At 39.0% G+C, this 18,870-nt stretch overlaps 1 protein-coding gene across 1 annotated transcript in view; it reads left to right on the plus strand.

The window, feature by feature from the left end:
* Window positions 1-395: 395 nt before the first annotated feature.
* The window catches only part of DOK6 (docking protein 6), a 448,200-nt gene continuing 429,725 nt past the window's right edge, over window positions 396-18,870 (plus strand). The window contains exon 1 of the mRNA NM_152721.6: window positions 396-818. Within this exon, the coding sequence (NP_689934.2) occupies window positions 753-818 (66 nt within the window). The 5' untranslated portion in view covers window positions 396-752. The remainder of the gene's footprint in view (window positions 819-18,870) is intronic.

Raw genomic sequence — 18,870 nt, forward strand, 5'->3', positions numbered from 1 at the left:
TGGGAATAAAAATGTACTGTAAACAAGGCCAATGAAATAAGTGTCTCGCTCCCGCTGGCCTTCCGCGTTGGAAGTGTCCCCACTGCCCTTTCCCCGCTGCACAGCTTGCGAGTGGAGATTTAGAGCCCGGGAATGAGGCGCCGTGTCCTTAGGAATCTCGCGCCCGGGGAGCGCTGAGGGACCGGGGAGCCGGGTGGGGAGCGGGCCTCGGGGCGCCCGGCGGCGGAGGCGCTCCCACCCGCGCGGAGAGGGATGGAGCGCGTCTTGCGAGCGTCTCCGAGCCCAGCCACCCCACGGGCCAGGGGGAGGGAGCGGGGCCGGCGCATCAGCCCGCCCCCCCCGGCCCGCCCCCTCCCCCCGCGCCGGGGAGCCGCGGTGGTGCGCTCCGGCCAGCTGTGCGCCGCCGAGCGAGGCGCCAGCCCGTGGGTGCTGCCGGGGGCGGCGGCGCGGTGGGGGCTCCCGCAGCTGGCGGAGGCGCGGGCCGCGGCGCTGGGCTCGCGGCGGGGAGCGAAGGTGAGCGCCAGAACGCGGAGGGCTGGCGCGGCTCGCGGCGCCGGGCCCCGTTCCCCGTCCGCGGCGGCCCTGCAGGCGACCCCGCGTCCCCACCGGCGGGAGCTCGGGGAAGAGCGGGCGGCGGCGCTGCTGCTGGCGGCGGCCGGCTGGATGCGAGACCCGCGCAGACCCGGCGGCGGACGGCGGCTCTCGACTCCGGAGAGCGGATCGCGGGGCGCAGGAGCCCGATCGCGCTGGCCATGGCCTCCAACTTTAACGACATAGTCAAGCAGGGCTACGTGAAAATCCGCAGCAGGAAGCTTGGGGTGAGTGGCTCGCTCGGCTTGCTCCTTCCCCGGCGCTCGTTCGGCCCGGCTGGCTGCCTGGGGGGGGGGCAGGGAGAGGTGACCCGTGCGGGTACAGGGCAGAGAGGGACCCGGCCCTTAGGCGGATGGCCCGCTTGTTGCTTGGCCAGGTGGGGGCCCACACCTGCCGGGGGGCTCCGCAGACGGACCTGGGGACTCCAGGAGCGCCTGAGTCCCCATCCTCGAGTGCACCGGGCTGTCTTCGACCGTGCGGGGAAGTCAGTAGACGAAAGGGGTTGTCAGTTCCAACGAGGAACGTGCCTTGGAGGAGGTTTCTTTGCGGTGCTATCCACGATGGTCTGTTCTCAAAAGTGTGCGCCTTTCGGGTGGAACTGCTGTGTGTGGCGACGCTCGCGTGTGTTTAGAATCACCATTTTCTGGTCTCCGCTTCCCAAGCTCAATTCGAAATTCCCGTCTGATGCCCTCCCAGCGCCGCGCGTCCCTGCCGGCTGTAGTTTAGGGCGCCTTCGCCGTGGCCGAGGGCGGCTCCCGCGCCCCGCAAGTGCTCCCCTACCCGGGGACCCGCGCCCGCGTGCAGGCAGGTGTGTGCCCCGCGCCCGCCCGCGGTCACTGCTCCGTGACGGCAAAGTTGATGGAGACCTTTCCCTATTCTTGAGAGATGCGCTGCCTGGCTTGGGAGGGAAACCGTGTAGAACCCAAGGGTTCAAAACTATTCTAGTGACCAGACGAGGCGGTAGGAGGGACTCACGGGAGGCAGCGGGACAGGAGGGGCTGTCACCTGGGCGGGAGCAGCCTAGACTTGGGACGCGAGAGAGAGGATGGAGGGATGGGCAGGAGGTCCCTGGGGAGCGCGCGATGTAGGGTGGCCTGGGAGGCTGACCCCGGCTGGCTGGTCCAGAAAAGCGAGGGGAAACTCGTCTGGGAAAGAAAGGGCCCCTGTTCCAGACTCTGGTTGTGTCTACCTCACTGTTCTCCAACTTCCAGTTCTACCAAGCTCCTGCCTCCCGGGGCAAAGGGTCCTTGAGCTAGAACCTTTCCTGTGTTCCCTGATGACTGGATGAATCCTCCAACTTGGAGAAGGGGAAAAAGAGGGGAGGACTTTGCTAATTTTTGTGTAAAAAAGAAAGCAAAAGAAGGGTAGTGTTAGAGAGTGGAAGAAAGATAAGGTAGAATCCCCGAAAGAGGGCAGATCACCAAGCACCAGGAGTCGCTTTGTCGGGAGTTGGCGGCGCCAGGTGTTGGGGACAGGAGGACGGGAAAGGCAGACTTGACTCTTGGTGCTGCCTCTGCTGGGTTTCGCATTAAAGGTGCAGACTGTACCCCAAGGACAACAGGGGCCCATTCTGGAACTTCAGCAGCTCTGTAGTAGGCTGGGAGGCTGCAAGAGCGAGTGCGGAGCTGGGTGACAGCAACGCCCCCCTTCCTCCAGCCTGGAGCCAACGTGCGCTGCCGTGAGCCCCACCAAGGCGAGAGAGAGCAGGCGCCAGAGTCAGATCCTCGGCCAGGTTTCAAGGGCTTTTCTTGGGTAGAAGAAAGCGCCTCATTCTTTTCCAGGCATATAAGGACGAACCCACGGGAAAAGCTGCGGTTCTCCAGGAGTCTGGTTGTTCCTCGCAGCCGGGACGGAATGCTCAAGTCTGTCACCACACAGCTGTCAGCCAAGGGAGGTGCAGAGCTGGAGGTGGAAGGGAGTCGTCTTCTTAGCTTGACCTTTGAAGCCCTTTGCTTTACGACTGGATGCTTGATCATTTTTCTCGGCCTTTGATCTTCTTGAAATCGCAATTGTATCTGATGCCTCAGACTATATAAACTAATGGATGAGTTAAGTCCCAGACAAGATGTATGTCTGCGTTCACAGAGTCACCTGCATATGAAAATGAGACTGAAGAATGTAGCCTGAGCATCCCCTTCCTGCGCACTTGGCCCTGGAGTCTATAGGATTCCCCTCCACCCCATCCAAGCCCTCCAGGATTTCACACAACAAAAACTGAGTATGTAACCCAATTATAACATAGGGCCCAAGGAAAGTGCATTGATTGCTTCTTGGGTAACTATGGCATTCACAGCGTTTGAAATGTCATCTTGAACGCCATTTCTGCCTAACGATGTGTGCAAATGTATATTTACACTTACAAAGCCTCTTTTGCTGTGTTCACTGTTTAGAGCTTTGCCTTTGTAAAGTGCAGCCTTCATAGAAAACAATAAAAGTGTGTTCATATAAAAGTTAATTGCTTTTGTCCTCCATTTCTACCTGAGAAATGTAAACTTCAAAGTTAGATATTGAAACAGTTTTGTTTTAAATTAAATCAAAATATTAAATTCACCTTGACTATTTTGGGAACTTTTTTTTTAAGTCAGATACTTTTCTATTCAGAATATTCTAATATGCAGAAGAGTGAATTTAAATGGCAAAACTTCACATAGCTGGTTCTGTGAAGCTTACTAAGTTAAGTGAGTCCCATAAGATAGTAAAACTAAGCAAATATTGTGTGCCTTAAAGAGTCATACCCCAAATCATAAAAATTGAAGTTATCCAAACATTAATATTTGCTTTGCATAGTTAATAATACATATTCCTAATTTTATGGACTCAAAACTATGAACTTTTCCAAATAACATATTTTTTAACTCCAAGGACACGATGAGTTTTTGTGATTTATGTCCAAAACTAAATTTCAAAATATAAATAATTATAATTGAACATGCATAGATATTTGATTTATTATGGACAGTACTCATGCTTTCAAAAATCAAAGTCTGTGATATTCTAATGGAGAAAAAAAGGCCTGGATATGAGGCCGATTGCATCAGAGATAATTATTGACATGAAACATAATTTATGATGAAATGTTCTAATGTGCCCTTTGCTCTTCACAGATAAGTGCAATTTTGAATGAGGGCAGTAAGGCATTTCTTGTCCTCTAGGTAGCAAGTCAGCCCTTTCAGAGGGGCTTCCAGGTTTAAGAGGTCAAAAAGGCCCTTGCCCTGTGTCTCACTGGGGAAGCTAGCAACCTGTTGAGTACAGTCCCTTACCCACTGCTTGGGAAAGAAGTAAAATTTAGTAAGCAAGGCATATATAGCAAAATATCCAGTCAGTTTTTGGTTTGCAGCCAAACTAAGAACTCAATCACTGAAAGCATTAATAATCTAACACTTTGTGTATTGACCCTAAATTTATCAGAAATAGATGCAGCTTTGTGGAGTGATCATCATCATCATCACCATCATCACAGTCATTGTCATCAATATCACTGTACAAATTTTAGACTGCTATACCTTGACTTATTCTAGACACAGACCTCACATCATTTTTTTTCAAGGAATTCATTCAAATACATCAACATGACTATTCACAGACACATTGTATGCAGACAAAATAGTGTCTTCTACAGACATTTTACATTTCTTACTCAAACTCAGGTGAGAGATTGGTGTTGATATGTGTGGGTTCTGAAGGAGTGTCTCAGGATAGGGTGGTGTGTGTGTGTGTGTGTGTGTGTGTGTATTCAGGTACACACTCAAGTAATCAAATTATCTTGGAGTGCCCACAGTTTAAGAGGCAGTGTACACTGGTGTTTGTGTGTGTATTACAGAGTCATATTGTGTTAAGCCTGAATTAGTTATAATAAAGAACCCCTGCATCATTGCTACTGAGAGTACATCGGGCCAGTCATTGTCACTTTGCACCAACTTCGCTGTAGGGGAAGCAGGGAAATGTGGAGGGACAGATTGCGAGTTTTGAAGAGCACTAACTTTATGAGCTGAGCACCTATTGAGAATTTTGCTTTTTCATATTTTTGTTTTAACATCTTATTGTGGATTCACCTACCTCTTGCCCTTTCTCCCTTCTTGATTAAAACCTTAAGACACCTCCATTCCTGGCTTAAGGATAATTGATCTCCTTTCTGTAAACACTGTGAGTTTTCCTTTCCTCTCTCAACAGCTTTCCTCGGAGTATTTGTTCATGAGAGATATTTATGAAAATTCACCCTTTTATAGAAGCTCAATGATTAAAATAAATAGAAATAGCTGGACACGGTGGCTCACGCCTGTAATCCTAGCATTTTGGGAGGCTGAGGCAACATGGTGAAACCCCATCTCTACTAAAAATTACAGAAAGTCAGCGGGGTCTGGTGATGTGTGCCTATAGTCCCAGCTACTCAGGAGGCTGAGGTGCGAGAATTGCTTGAACTCGGAAGGTGGAAGTTGCTGTGAGCTGAGATCATGCCTCTGCACTCTAGCCTGGGTGACAAAGCGAAACTCTGTCTCAAAATAACTAACTAAATAAAATAAAATAAAATAAAATAAAATAAAATAAATAGAAATGTGCATATGTGCATTTGTATATTTTGTCCTTTAGACCATTTTACAATTTCTTTCATCTCCAAGTCTGTAAAAACTAGTTTGTAAAGAGAGATTATATCTTGCATGGCATGCATTACCAATTTCCCAAGAATTAGATGCAATAAATATATTTAAGATAAAACATATAAATAACTTAGTCATTCTGACTATTTAAAAATTCTAAAGGAATTTCAGGATCATTACTTTGTATATGAATTTCCAATATATGGATTTATGGTGCAGAAGTTATAATGAGTGTGTTTCAGTCTTTACTTGTCTAGAATATTGTGAATCCTGGACATTGTTTTCTGAAATGGATCTGTGGTATCTATGTTTATTTATCATTTGTATATTTATCATTTCTCATTAAATACTAATTTAGCAGATGACAATTTCAATTATTTGAACTCTATTTGATTCTAGATTTTTATTCATGGTGACAATTATGCATATTCCTTACGCTGTGTGTAGATTTGCCACTTACTTCTGTATCTATACATATTCCTGCAAATAATGCTAGTTCTTAGAATTTTCCAGTAAGCAAAGATCTTATATATCTTCTACCCAATCCCTATATTTTGCATTATCTTCAACTGCATGTTCGTGTGTATGACATCTGATGTATGCTTAGAAACTCTATCTCTATTGGCAATTTTTTTCCTTTTAAAAACATCCCTCTGTCTGCATATGAACATGTCCAAAGTTCTTTGAATTTCAAAAATTAAGCCAAAGACAATGAAAATTAAGGTAATTTTTACAGTAAAAACCAAATACAGACATTGTGGCTGGATTTTGCTATTAAATTATTATGCCTATGTAAGACCTGGGAGAGGTGGGTAAATCAGAGAGAGTTATCAAGATTCACATCTCAGTTTTTATCTTGATAGATTTACAGATGACTGCTGGCAAGGTGAACTTTAAAAATGGCATTCCTTTTCTTAGAAAACAAAGATAATACTCAGTACTTAAAGAGATCTTTCAAATGACTGAAATTAATAGATAGTGAGCAGGGAAGTGCTACAGTGGTCAAATATCTTTCTACGATCTACATTCCCAGTTTCCTTAAATGTCTTTCAAACACGCACAGTAATGGTGAATATTTTGGATCAGTATAAAATAGAATACGGAATAAAAAATTAGTTTAGGCTGGGTGCGGTGGCTCACACCTGTAATCTCAACATTTTGGGAGGCCGAGGCTGGCGGATCACCTGAGGTCAGGAGTTTGAGAGCAGCCTGGCCAACATTGTGAAACCTCGTCTCTACTAAAAATACAAAAATTAGCGGGGTGCAGAGGCCAGCGCCTGTAATTCCAGCTACTCAGGAGGCTGAGGCAGGAGAATCGCTTGAACTCGAGAGGTGGAGGTTGCAGTGCACTGAGATCGTGCCACTGCACTCCAGTCTGGGCAACAAGAGCGAAACTCCATCTAAAAAAAAATAGTTTACTATGAAGCATATATATTTGACATAAATGTCATCTTTTCAAAGTATTTTTATTAGTTAGCATTGCCCTCTTTGGATCATAAACCATGTAGAAACTGTTGAGTAGGACAATTAAGTATTTGTATCTTTGGACTGTTTCTATTTACATCAATTTTAGAAACTGTAGAAGATAAAAGGTATGCAATACAAACAAAATTGAAATTATCTGTAGTCCCACCATTTAAAGATAATCTCTAGATTCACATATTTTGAAATGCAGTGCTGGTTTTGAGGAAGACATAATTTCTATTAAATAAGATAAAATAATTAAAAGGGAGCATACTATGATTTCTTTAGCCTCGGTTTTATTACTTGTGCCTCACTTTAGTCACAGTATTTTCTGTTTTTCTTCAAGGTCTTGTAACTTTGTCCACAGAGTCCACAAATTCTAGATAGGGAACATTTTCATTAACTTTCTGCATAAATCCTCTTTAGATTTATTTTAAGATACAGAGCAGTATTATCCTCTAAGTAATTCATTTTTATATTGTTACACTATTACTCAATGAGAATATTGCACCTGTCAGTCAAAGTGGATAGAATAAGTAATGATATTTTGCTATAAGCAAGAGCAGAAATTAATAAAGAAAACTATTGTTTACATGGTACTTGCAATGATTAGTGATGGTTGTAACCTTTCAACATGTGCAAAATATTTTGTCTGCCATTTTCCTGAATTATTTGCAATAATTCTTGGTTAATTTTTATTTTTGGCTTAACAGTAAAATTACTGGGAACAAAGACATATTAATGCTTAGTTTGAGACTTCATAATGGTAACATAATCTCACTACATTTTGTACATATTGTGCATCTCACAACTTGTAAAGACTTATCACACATATTATATAAGTCTTATGGTAGGATTTCAAACATATATTCAATTTTTAACCCCCATTCTGTACATAAACTAGAATCCAAAAGAAGTAAGGCAAATCAGCTGGAGTTATTGAGACACAGCTTGGGTTTGTGTGTTTGTGTCTACAAACCTAGGTTTATAACTTCAAGTTCAGTGTAATAGCTGTTATAGAACAGCCACCACTTTGGAGTATATATAGACAAGTTCAACACAGTCATGTGTACCCTTCAAAGTCAAGATGCTTTCTTTGGTATCTTGGTTTAAAGCTGATACAATCATTCACTGTACTCAATGCTAAGTTATTTAGATTGCAGACAAAAATGCTACTTAGTGAAATAATTTATGTCACAATAAGGAAGTACTATGCAGATACTTGTCCAGGCCACACTGAATTGACACAATTTCATTTTCATTGATGCCAAACACAAATTCACTAACCTCTCCTTTCAAAAAAAAAAAAAAATAGAGCACCTTTCAAAATTTACATGACAGTGTCTGGGTAGAATTTTACAAGTTATTTAAATAGTTAAATATCTTTAGTTTAGCATTACCTTTATTTATGGAAGATGATATTTTATTTAACCTGGCTTTATAAAAGATTATGTTTAAATCAACTTAGTGAAAGGTGAGTTCATTTAAAGAAAACCTAAATACAAAAACTGTACAGATTAATGGGGATCTGACAAATCAAAAGGCAGTATGTGTTGACATAGTCATGCCTCACATAGTATGACAGTGTTAGCTAAATGCCCAGGCATTGACAGTACTCAACCACAGCACGATCTTAACTCAAGAGACTGGATTATTTTGTTTGTTTCTTATTTTTGTTGCTTGCTGCTTTAAAGGGGGCTTAAATCAAAATAGATGTATTTAAATTATGTTCCTTTATTAAAAAACTATTAATTTTTTAAGTTGCCTATATGCCACTCTCTTATTCAAATGTGTACATTTATACATAAAATGTATTACACGTTGATGTGGTTTGGCTGTGTCCCCACCGAAATCTCATTTGAATTGTAGCTCCCATAATCCCCACGTGTCATGGGAGGGACCCGGTGGGAGGTAACTGAATCATGGGAGTGGTTTCTCCCATGCTGTTCTCGAGATAGTGAGTTCTCACAAAATCTGATGATTTTATAAGGGGCTTCCCCCTTCACTGGGTACTCATTCTGTCTCCTGCCGCCCTGTGAAGAGGTGCCTTCCACCATGATTGTAAGTTCCCTGAGGCCTCCCTAGCCATGCAGAACTGTGAGTCAATTAAACCTCTTTCCTTTATAAATTACCCAGTCTCTGGTATGTTCTTACAGCAGCGTGAGAATGGACTAATACACATGTAGAAACGTGTGTAGTAATTTTTTCCTAACGATTTTTCCATTGTAAATATGGAATTGCTTTTTTCTGATTACTCACTACCCTTTGGCATGTTTATGTGTGTATGTATATGTGTGTACACACATATATACATATATAATGTGCTATATATTGAATATGTATGTATTTCCAAATGGCACATTACTACCCATACACATGGAATTGCTATCTTTGCTGAGTGGATAGCAGAATGCACTCCCCACCTCTGCACCAGAAGAAGATGTTCATAAAATGCTTTTGTAGAATACAAGGAAAGTTTTTAATTCTATAAACCATTTTATGTCTACATTGGTCTTTACTTGGAAAAATAGATGCAATATTTGTCTAAAATTGGAAAGTTAGTATTTTTTCCCCAAAACTATAAAAACTATAACTTTAACACCATGGCAACCAGTAAATTTTATATTTATTTTTGTTTACATAATTCTAGTAAATTTTCTCACATGCTATGCAAAAATAAGAGTAAAATTATACTTTTCACATATGTCTCCTTGCTTTGAAAAATATTCCTTTTTGTTTAAACTTACTAGCAAATAGGAATACATTTTCCAGAGTGTTTTAAAGACCGTAGGGTAGTTCTGTAGAAAGCATCCATGTCATTTTACTCTTGCTTTCATAGACTTCACCACATATTTGGAATCCTTAAGTTTTAGCTATATAAGTCTCCTAAACCAAAGTACACCTAGTACCAAGTCATGATACTGAATTTACCTAGAAGCTACCAATTTTATGTATAAGTATGAAATATACTATTCTAGACATTTAAAACTGGACAATTATTTAGCACTGTGAAGTCCACTCAACACATTCCGTTGTTTTCTGATATTTTGAATAATTATCTATATTACCTATCCCTTTATTAAAAAACAATCACTGTCAACCACGACTGCATATAGGAGTGACCTGCAGAACTTGATCCTTCCGCCTGGGCGTTCCTCACTGAATTGGCCTGCCTGGAGTTGAGTGTAGGTTTGCTTTAGAGTTCCCTCAAGTGCTTTTAATGTGACACCAGAGTTGATAATTGTTGCCATCAAATGATACTTTTTTAGGAAACAGAGAAAATATGTAACATGCTAGACTCCTCTAAACTGCGAATTACACTGTTGTTAGTGCGAAGACCTCTGAAATATAAAGTTAATTATCCATTAAATCCTTTATGTAACACTAATTTCCTGACAGTCCATAATGCTTTATAATGTGAACACAGAAGGAATACAACAAAAAATTTCTTCGATGTACAGAAATTGACTTCATAAACAATGTAACGAACGTGAGTAAATCCTTTCTGAGGACTTTCCAGGCTCTCTTGATACATGACTGATGCTTCTACCAGCAATGTGGATGCTCTTGAAAGATTTCAATTGTCTAATTTGTGTATTCTCATCTAAGTAATTAAGATACCACGGCTATTTAAATTGTACTTAATTTAAGACTCACTGAGTTCTGAACAATGCAATCATGATTTTCCCAATGGGAGATTCAGTGCATGAGGCTATATTTTTAAAAAACCAGTAGCTCAGAGTCAGTTTTGTATTCTTCATAAACCTGGGCTCATGGCTGTGAAAGACAGTTGCTACCCTGCAACACCTTGCTCCTGATATCTATGAGGTTTATGTTTTATGTTCTTTTCTTTGTTCTTTGTTTCCTACTTAAAGAGATAGGGCATAGATGGATAGATGGGGGGAGAGAAAATCGAAGCAATATATAGCACATACCTCTCGAGTTCATGCAGATAGTAGGTACCCTTGTGGTTTTTAGAGAAAGTGACCATCAAGCTGACAAGTCGTGAATTAAGAAGTGTTTGTTAAAAAGTTCTATGCATAAGACACAACATATCCAGGTAACAATATGTGTCTAGATGAGATGAGTGTGGAGTAATGAGAAAAGATCCAGAATAAGGGTGCTTGTAGTGTTCTAAGAAGCTGGGAAGTTACTGATGTGTTTTACAAGAGGGGTTAAATGTTCATTGTCAAATTAACAAAATTCCTGAGCCTGGGGTGTAGAATAGATTGTAGTGAAATAGGACTGTTGGCAAGGAGCCAATAAGAAGTGAGTTTCAGTATCTAGGAAAGGTACTGTATGCTTCCACAGGCTAGCCAGGATGGAGAACCATTGCCACAGAAGTATTTTGTTTTTCTAGCTCTTGGGAAAAATGAGTCTTTCACCTACTATTGTTTGCATTGAGAATCCATCTGGCAGTCTTATTTTTGCCATTTGAAAATGATTAGTCTCTTTTCTTCTGTCTGCTTTTAACATGTTCTTTATCTTTGGTTTTCAGGAGTTTTGTTATGACATGTAGAAATATAGTTTTCATTCCATTCATCTTTCTTGATGTTTATAGGGCTTCTTGATTCTATGGCTTGATATCACTCATCAGTTTTGAAACATTCTCCACCACTACCTCCTCAAGTATCAGTTCTGTCCATTCTTTCTCTTTGTCCTTACTCGTATGTAAGGAAGCAGATATTTGGCAAGTAATTACTACCTTATCTCAAAGTGTCTTTACGCTTTTACTCTTTCATCTCTTTGCCTCTCAGATCTTCAAGATAAATATTTTTCTTGCATTTCTTTCAGTTTGCTAATTTTCTATTCAACTGCAAATAACCTACTGTTAAAACTATTCATTGCTATCAATTTCGATGATTTTATTTTCATGTCTAGAATTATCATTTGGTTCATTTAAAAATTATACAAATAAAGTATCAGTTTTATCTTTGGTAGTTTTCGATGCCTTCGAATATATATACTTTTTGTATGTGTGCAGCATTTGTGATCATGAGCATGTGGGCTTTCTTGAATTACTTAGTACACCATTAACAGAAATGGAACTTTCTCACTGGTTAATGGCTTTTTGTGGAGGTAGAGGTCATGTGATCCTCCAGAACTCCGCTGAGAGACAGGAGAGTTGGCTATGGCTTTTCCTTCATTGTGGGACCCTCTACCTGTGATAATTTTGACTTGGAATATTCTCAAAACAAGTTATCTACCTCCATGGTAGCACTATGGCTTGTGACAATGACAGTGAAGAAAAATAATTATTTTACTTTTGAGGGTTATTTTTTCTCTTTTGTTTTGGTAACAGCAGTGGCAAGACCGACTCCCAGAGATTCTACCTTAATTGATTTCTGGGCAAGAGAATTATTTGTTTCAGGCTTGGTTTTTATCTCAAGTGATTCTAGAATAAATGAAGTACATTTCACCGAATAATTTTTAATGCAAGTTGTTTTTCACCATATATTTCCACTGAGCCCTAGAGAGCTAGGATAAATAGGCTAAAGTATGCCTCCATAAGTAAAAAAATAAAATAAAATAAATGTCTATATCGGCTACTTGTCATTTCTTTATTTCAGCCAAAATTTGAGTCTCTTTCCCATATTTGGAAAGTACTCCCACATTATGAATGGTGAAGGTAGCAAATAAGGTCTTGCATTATAAAAGATGAAATGCCCAAAATGCTTATCTCCCTTGCAGCTAGAGCACAAGAACATGAGCTGGCTTTTACAAATTCCAGGAACCTAGGACCGACTTTGAGTTAGTGACAAAAGAGGCAATTCAGTGGAGGAATCTTCACAGGGGAGGAGAGACTAGTCATTTCTACTGGATCAATGTAATGACACAGAAGTAGAAACAATGCAAATTGCTGCATCTATTGTCTCAAGTGAATACACACATTAAGCCACTTTAATAACTTTAGAGAATATTTATGGTTGCTTAGTCTTGAACCTGGTTCTCCAGTCCTCTATTCCTATTTTGAAATAATAAAAACTTTAATAAATTCCTTTCTGTCTAAATCAGCAAGTGTCAGCTTCTGTTGCTTGCAACTAATACATATAATTGATAAAACAGCATTATTGGAAGTGACTCAATTAAGTTTTAAAATATCTTAAAATCATCAATGTTTTAGAGTAGTGAATATTAAATAGTTGTCTTCAGCAACAAGTAGATAGAATTAATTTCTCTTTTGTTTACTCCTAGCTTGGACATTAGAGCATCATTAGTGATTTACTCTGTTCAAACATGGGGATTTGTAGGAGCTTTGATATAAGGATACATCCAGATCATACAATTAAGAAAAAAGTTTGATTTAAATAGGGACCCACACAAATACACATAACATATTTTAGGCAAAGGTGGAAAACTAATTTGATAAAGAGGAATGCCTTTTCAGCAAATGTTACTGGAGTAATTGAACATCCACGAGCAAACTAAGTGAAACTTCACATAAACTTCACGCCTTGTAACTCAAAACAGGTCACAGACTTAAATATAAAACATAAAGCTATAAAAAATTTTTGGAAAAACATTAGAAGAAAATCTAGGACTAGGCAGAATTCTTAGACTTGACAACAAAATCATGATCCATAAAAGGAAATATTGACAATTTCATCTTATTGAAATTAAAAACTTTTGCTCTGTGAAAGACCCTATTAAGAGGATGAAAAGACAAGCTATTTACTGGCAGAAAATACTTAAGGACTATACATCTCTGACAAAAAACTAGTATAAGACACTCTAAAAACTGTACAGTAAATTTTTAAAAAACCATAATTCAACCAGAAGACAGGCAAAGGACATGAACATACATTTCACCAAAGTTGACATATATACAAATAACCACATAAACAGGTGTCTGACATCATTAACCATTAGGAAGATGCAAATTAAAACTACCAAGAGATATCATTACACACCTATTGGAAAGGCTAGGAAAAAGTGACAACACTAAATGCTGACACGAATCCAGAGAAGCTGGATAGCTGGGTCACTCATTACTGGCGGGAATATAAAATGGTTCAGACACTCTGGAAAACAATTTGTCAATTTCTTGACAACCTACATATGCAAAAATGAGACCTGGCAATTGCACTCCTGGACATTCATGTCAGAGGAATGAAACTTCTCACATACAAACCTATTCATGAATGTTCATGGCTGCTTCATTTGAAATAGTAATAAATTGAAGATAAACCAGATGTCCATCATTAGGTGAATGATTAAACAAGCTGTAGTTCACCAAATTACGCAATACTACACAGCAGTAACAAAGGACCAAACTAATAATAAATCTCAGAAAATTATGGTGGGTGTCTATAAAAACACCAATCATCAAATGTTACATACTGTGCAATTTCATTCTATTAACATTCTTAAAATAATAAATTATAAAAATGAAGAACAGGTTGGTAGTATCCAGAGGTTATGGACAGGAAAGAGGGTATGGGGTTTGTGTGTGAGGTAGAAGTGGTTATAAAAGCAAAGAATGGGGAATCCTTTTGATGGTTGAAATGTTCTGTATCTTGACTGTAGTAATGTCAGTATTTTGGTTATGAAATGAGATGGTAATTTTACAAGAAGTTACTATGGGGAAAATTGGATAAAGAGCATGCAGGGTTGTTCTGTACTGTTTCTCACAACTGCATGTGTAACAACAGTTATCTTAAAATTAAAAGCTAATTAGAAAATGTAAGAAGGAGCATCAAAACCTAGCCTCATTTTACAAACACGATAAGCCATCCAGTGGGGCACAATTATAGTGGAAGTAGCGTAGAAAAATGGAAAGAGTACACTCTTTTAGAATCAACTGAGGGATTTAATTAATAACTTGTCAATTATGAATTTTGTAACCTATAGTAAGTTTCAAATATCTTTAACTCTCACTTTTCTTAATTATGAATTGGGTAGAAGAACACCAACCTCATTGTTGAGTAAAATAATACTTTACAAGATCAAAAGAGTGCTTAGTCTATGATGCTTCAACCATTGAATGGTAGAATTGATTGACAGATACCAAAAGCCTCCTGGGACAGACCTTTGAAAAGGAACCTATTTCTTGGCAGCTCTTCTGAACTGGGGTTCCATAGGAGAAGAAACTCTTAATTCCTTGAGTCTTCCAATGTATGTAATGAGTTAACTTCCTTCCTGTATGGAAAATGGTAGCAACTGTTCAATACTTGTGAATTGAGGAAAATAATGACTCAAATCATTTTTTTGTAAGTCTTAATTCTCTCATGAAACTCAGGTTGAGAAAGGCCAAATGTTGATTGATGGGCTGTCAATTTCTGCGTATCATCAAGAAAACAGATAAAGGGGAAAGGTGTCATTCTGTGATGGTTTGAATCATGAGACCACCCCCAACCTTCCAATATGAATTTTAAATGATCATTACTATCTTAAAGATAGGCACCAGATATTTATTTTACCACAGTTTTACCCCAGTAGCTAAACTCAAAGTCTGATACAGTGAGTGCATGCAGATAGCCGTATTGATATATTATGTAACATTTTGGCTTACTTTTTGCAAACATCTGTCCAAGGATGCATTATGTCATTTTCAGCACCTAAAGGTCAATGCATTCATGAGATAAATTCTGATTTTGGAAGAAAAATCTTAAAAAAGAAAGCCATATTTTGAGGGTCACAAAAGAGAGGTCAAAAATATTTACCTCAACCTTACGATTCATATATTAAATCCCAAGGTTACTAAACATGTAAAAGATTAATTTATGGCTTACAGAATTTTAAGGGATTTTAGGTTGGCTGTATATTCATATAAACATTTCCAGTGAATACACTCATCATTTACAAACCCATCATGTAGTTAGCTTATTTAACTCATAATTATGGGCATATTTAACAATACTGTCTTCTGTAGCTACTCCATTTTCTTCTGCTTTCCAGATCTCTAGAAAAATTTTTTGGAAGGAAGGAAGGAAAGGAGGGAGGAAGGGAGAGAGGGAGGGAGAGAGGGATGGAGGGAGGGACGGAGGAAGGGAGGGAGGGACGGAGGGAGGGAGGGAAGGAAGGAAGGAAGGAAGGAACGAAGGAAGGAACGAAGGAAGGAAGGAAGGAACGAAGGAAGGAAGGAAGGAAACAAAGGGTGGGAGCAAGGAACAAACATGTCCTTAAAATGAATGAATGTGTTTTTGCTGAACAGTCTTAATAGGACAACAGTTATTCTGAAACTCAAGCCACCATGGCATAGAAAAGCTAAATTTGTGTTTTTGCATACAATTTAACCGACTGTATAAATATATGAATACACAAGTATGATTTAATGGAATAACTCTCCACATTGTCACCTGTGAAAACATAAAAATGTCTTTTCTTTTGGAGACAGTGAGAATTGTTCCCTTCAAAGTGAGGACTTTACATCCTCTCCCACTGTTCTTCCTAGAAATGCAGCAGAAAGTGGGAGAAACATCTGCCTTCTGTTCTTAATAATTTATAGACCCCAGTATGGCCCATTTAGAAATTTCACCTATTTAACAATATGCTCAAATCCTACTTCCTCCAGATTGTATGACCTATCATCCTCATCCTGGAAGTTTTCTACTGTCTCTGAGCTGATGGAGTTATTATTTGTAACCTAGGCCCACCTCATAGGGCTGTGAGGGCTGTGCTCAGCACAAATCCAAGGGACTGCATTTATATAGACTATGTTGTGATCACTTTGGAGTTGTGTATATAATCCTGGCACTGTTTCAATGTACTGTTTTCCTTCTTGCATGTTTGTCTTTGGTCTCCTAAACCATTTTAGGTTATGGCAATTATGCTATTTTTAATTTTTAAATTTTTTTATGTTTATGGATACATAATAGTTGTCCATATTTATGGAATACATGTAATATTTTGATACAATAATGCAATGTATAATGATCAAATCTTGGTTATTGGGATATTCATCACCTCAAACAGTTTTCATTTATTTGTGTTGAGAACATTCAACTCTACTCTTCTAGTTCTTTTGAAATATACAATAAATTATTAACTTTACTATAGTCACCCTATTGAACTATCAAACACTAGATCTTATCCTTCTATCTAACTGTATTTTTGTGCCCATTAACCAACCTCCCCTCCCTACTACTTTTCCTAGCCTCTGGTACCCACCATTCTATCCACTATGTCCATGAGATCAATATTTTTAGCTCCCACATATTGTGAGACACGTAACGTTTGTCTTCCTGAGCCTGGCTTATTTCATTTAACATAATGACCTCCATTTTCACCTATGTTGCTGCAAATGACAGGAGTTCATTCTTTTTATGGAGGAAGAACATTGCGTTGTGTATATATACCACATTTTCTTTTTCATTCATCCATTGATGAATACTTAGGTTGATACCATATCTTGGTTATTGTGAATACTGCTGCAATAAATATGGCAGTCATGTATCTTTTTGATATACTGATTTCCTTTCTTTTGTATATATACCCAGAGATGGGATTGCTGGATCATATGGCAATTCTATGTTCAAATTTTGAAGAACCTCCATACTGTATTTTAGATGGAAATAATTTTTATTTCCATCAACAGTGTGCAAACATTCTCTTTCCTTTGCATCCTCGCCAGCATTTATTATTTTCTGTCTTCTTAATAGTAGCCATTCTAATTGGGGTGAGATAATATCTCATTGTGGTTTCTATTTGCATTTCCCAAATGATTAGTGATGTTGAACATTTTTTTCATATACCTTTGACTATTTGGCTTCTTTTAAGAAATGTCTATGTAGAACTTTTGCCCATTTTTAATCAGATTGTTTGTTTATATTGCTATTGAGTTGTTTGGGTTATTTATGTATCCCGTTTATTAACCCCTTGTCAGTTGAACAGCTTCACATATAATTTTTCCTATCGTGTAGGTTTTCTCTTCACTTGGCTGATTGTTTCCTTTGCTCTGCAGAAGCTTTTAAACTTGATGTGATCCCATTTGCCCATTTTTGCTTTGGTTGTCTGCTTTTGAGGCCTTACTCAAGAAATCTTTGCTCAAACCAGTGTCCTGGAGCATTTCCCTAATGTTTTCTTCAGTAGTTTCACAATCTTAGGTCTTATTTAAGTTATTAATCTATTTTGATTTGATTTATGTATATATTGAAAGACAGGGGTCCAGTTTCATTCTTCTGTCTATGGTCTAGATAGTTTTTGGTGTTTGTTTTTGACTTTTGGGATTATTTCACTTCATTTTATGTCAAATTCAAATGGATGATCTTTTATTATAATATCTGATAAATTTTATATTTTCATCTAAGCCTGATGAATAACAGCTTTTCTCAGTGAATTCTGAGAAATATGTAAAGTAGAATTTATATTTAAATATTAAACAGCTTTCCTTTTTAGAGATAGGGCCTTGCTCTGTCATCCAGGCTGGAGTGCAGTGAGTGGGATCATGGTTTACTGTAACCTTGAATTCCTGGACTCAGGTGATCCTCCTGACTCAGCCTCCCCAGTATCTGGGACTACAGGCACGTGCCACTTTGCCCAGCTAATTTCTTTTCTTTTCTTTTTTTTTGGTGGGGATGGGGTCTTGCTGTGTTGCCAATGTTGGTCTTGAACTCCTAGCCTTAAGCAATCCTCCTGCCTCAGCCTCCCAAAGTGCTGGGATTACAAGTATAAGCCATTATGCCTAGCCTGAGAGCTTCAAAATAAACATAAAGGGAATATTTATTTAATGCCAGTCAAGAAATGGCTGCTTCTAAATTTCATATGAGAGTAATAGTTAACTAAGAAATAGTAGTGGGGAAAAAACTTTTTTTGCCTAAGTACATGTATTTCAATTATTAGCTGGGACTTTTTCATTTTATGGTTCTCTCTTTTGAATTGGGGAAAATATAAATGTTAATCATTTTGCAGTTGCAGTTTAGTGTTCTCTGTGAAATGAGGTTTGTATAAGCTACATTTGCCCATAGAATACCTTAATTACTAGGACCCAAGTGGTTTGAACACTCCATTGACTTTAAAAACAAACAGCAGTGCAAAACTTCTGTGTCTTTGATGTTGAGCTCTAGAGCCATCTTGACTAAATTTTAGAAGACTTCATTACTTAGAAGATAAAGTTCAATGCCTTTTCAATGAAATTCTATTTTGTAACTGCAGTAAAAGAGAGATCACTGAGCTGCATTCCCATCCAAAACGCGCACATAGCTATCTTGATACTCATGGTTTTAACTAGTCACAACTCCCTTTTAAATGACAATAAAAGTGTGCAGAATACAAAATAAAT

This window comes from Homo sapiens, chromosome 18, assembly GCF_000001405.40.
Source record: "Homo sapiens chromosome 18, GRCh38.p14 Primary Assembly".
NCBI lineage: Eukaryota > Metazoa > Chordata > Mammalia > Primates > Hominidae > Homo > Homo sapiens.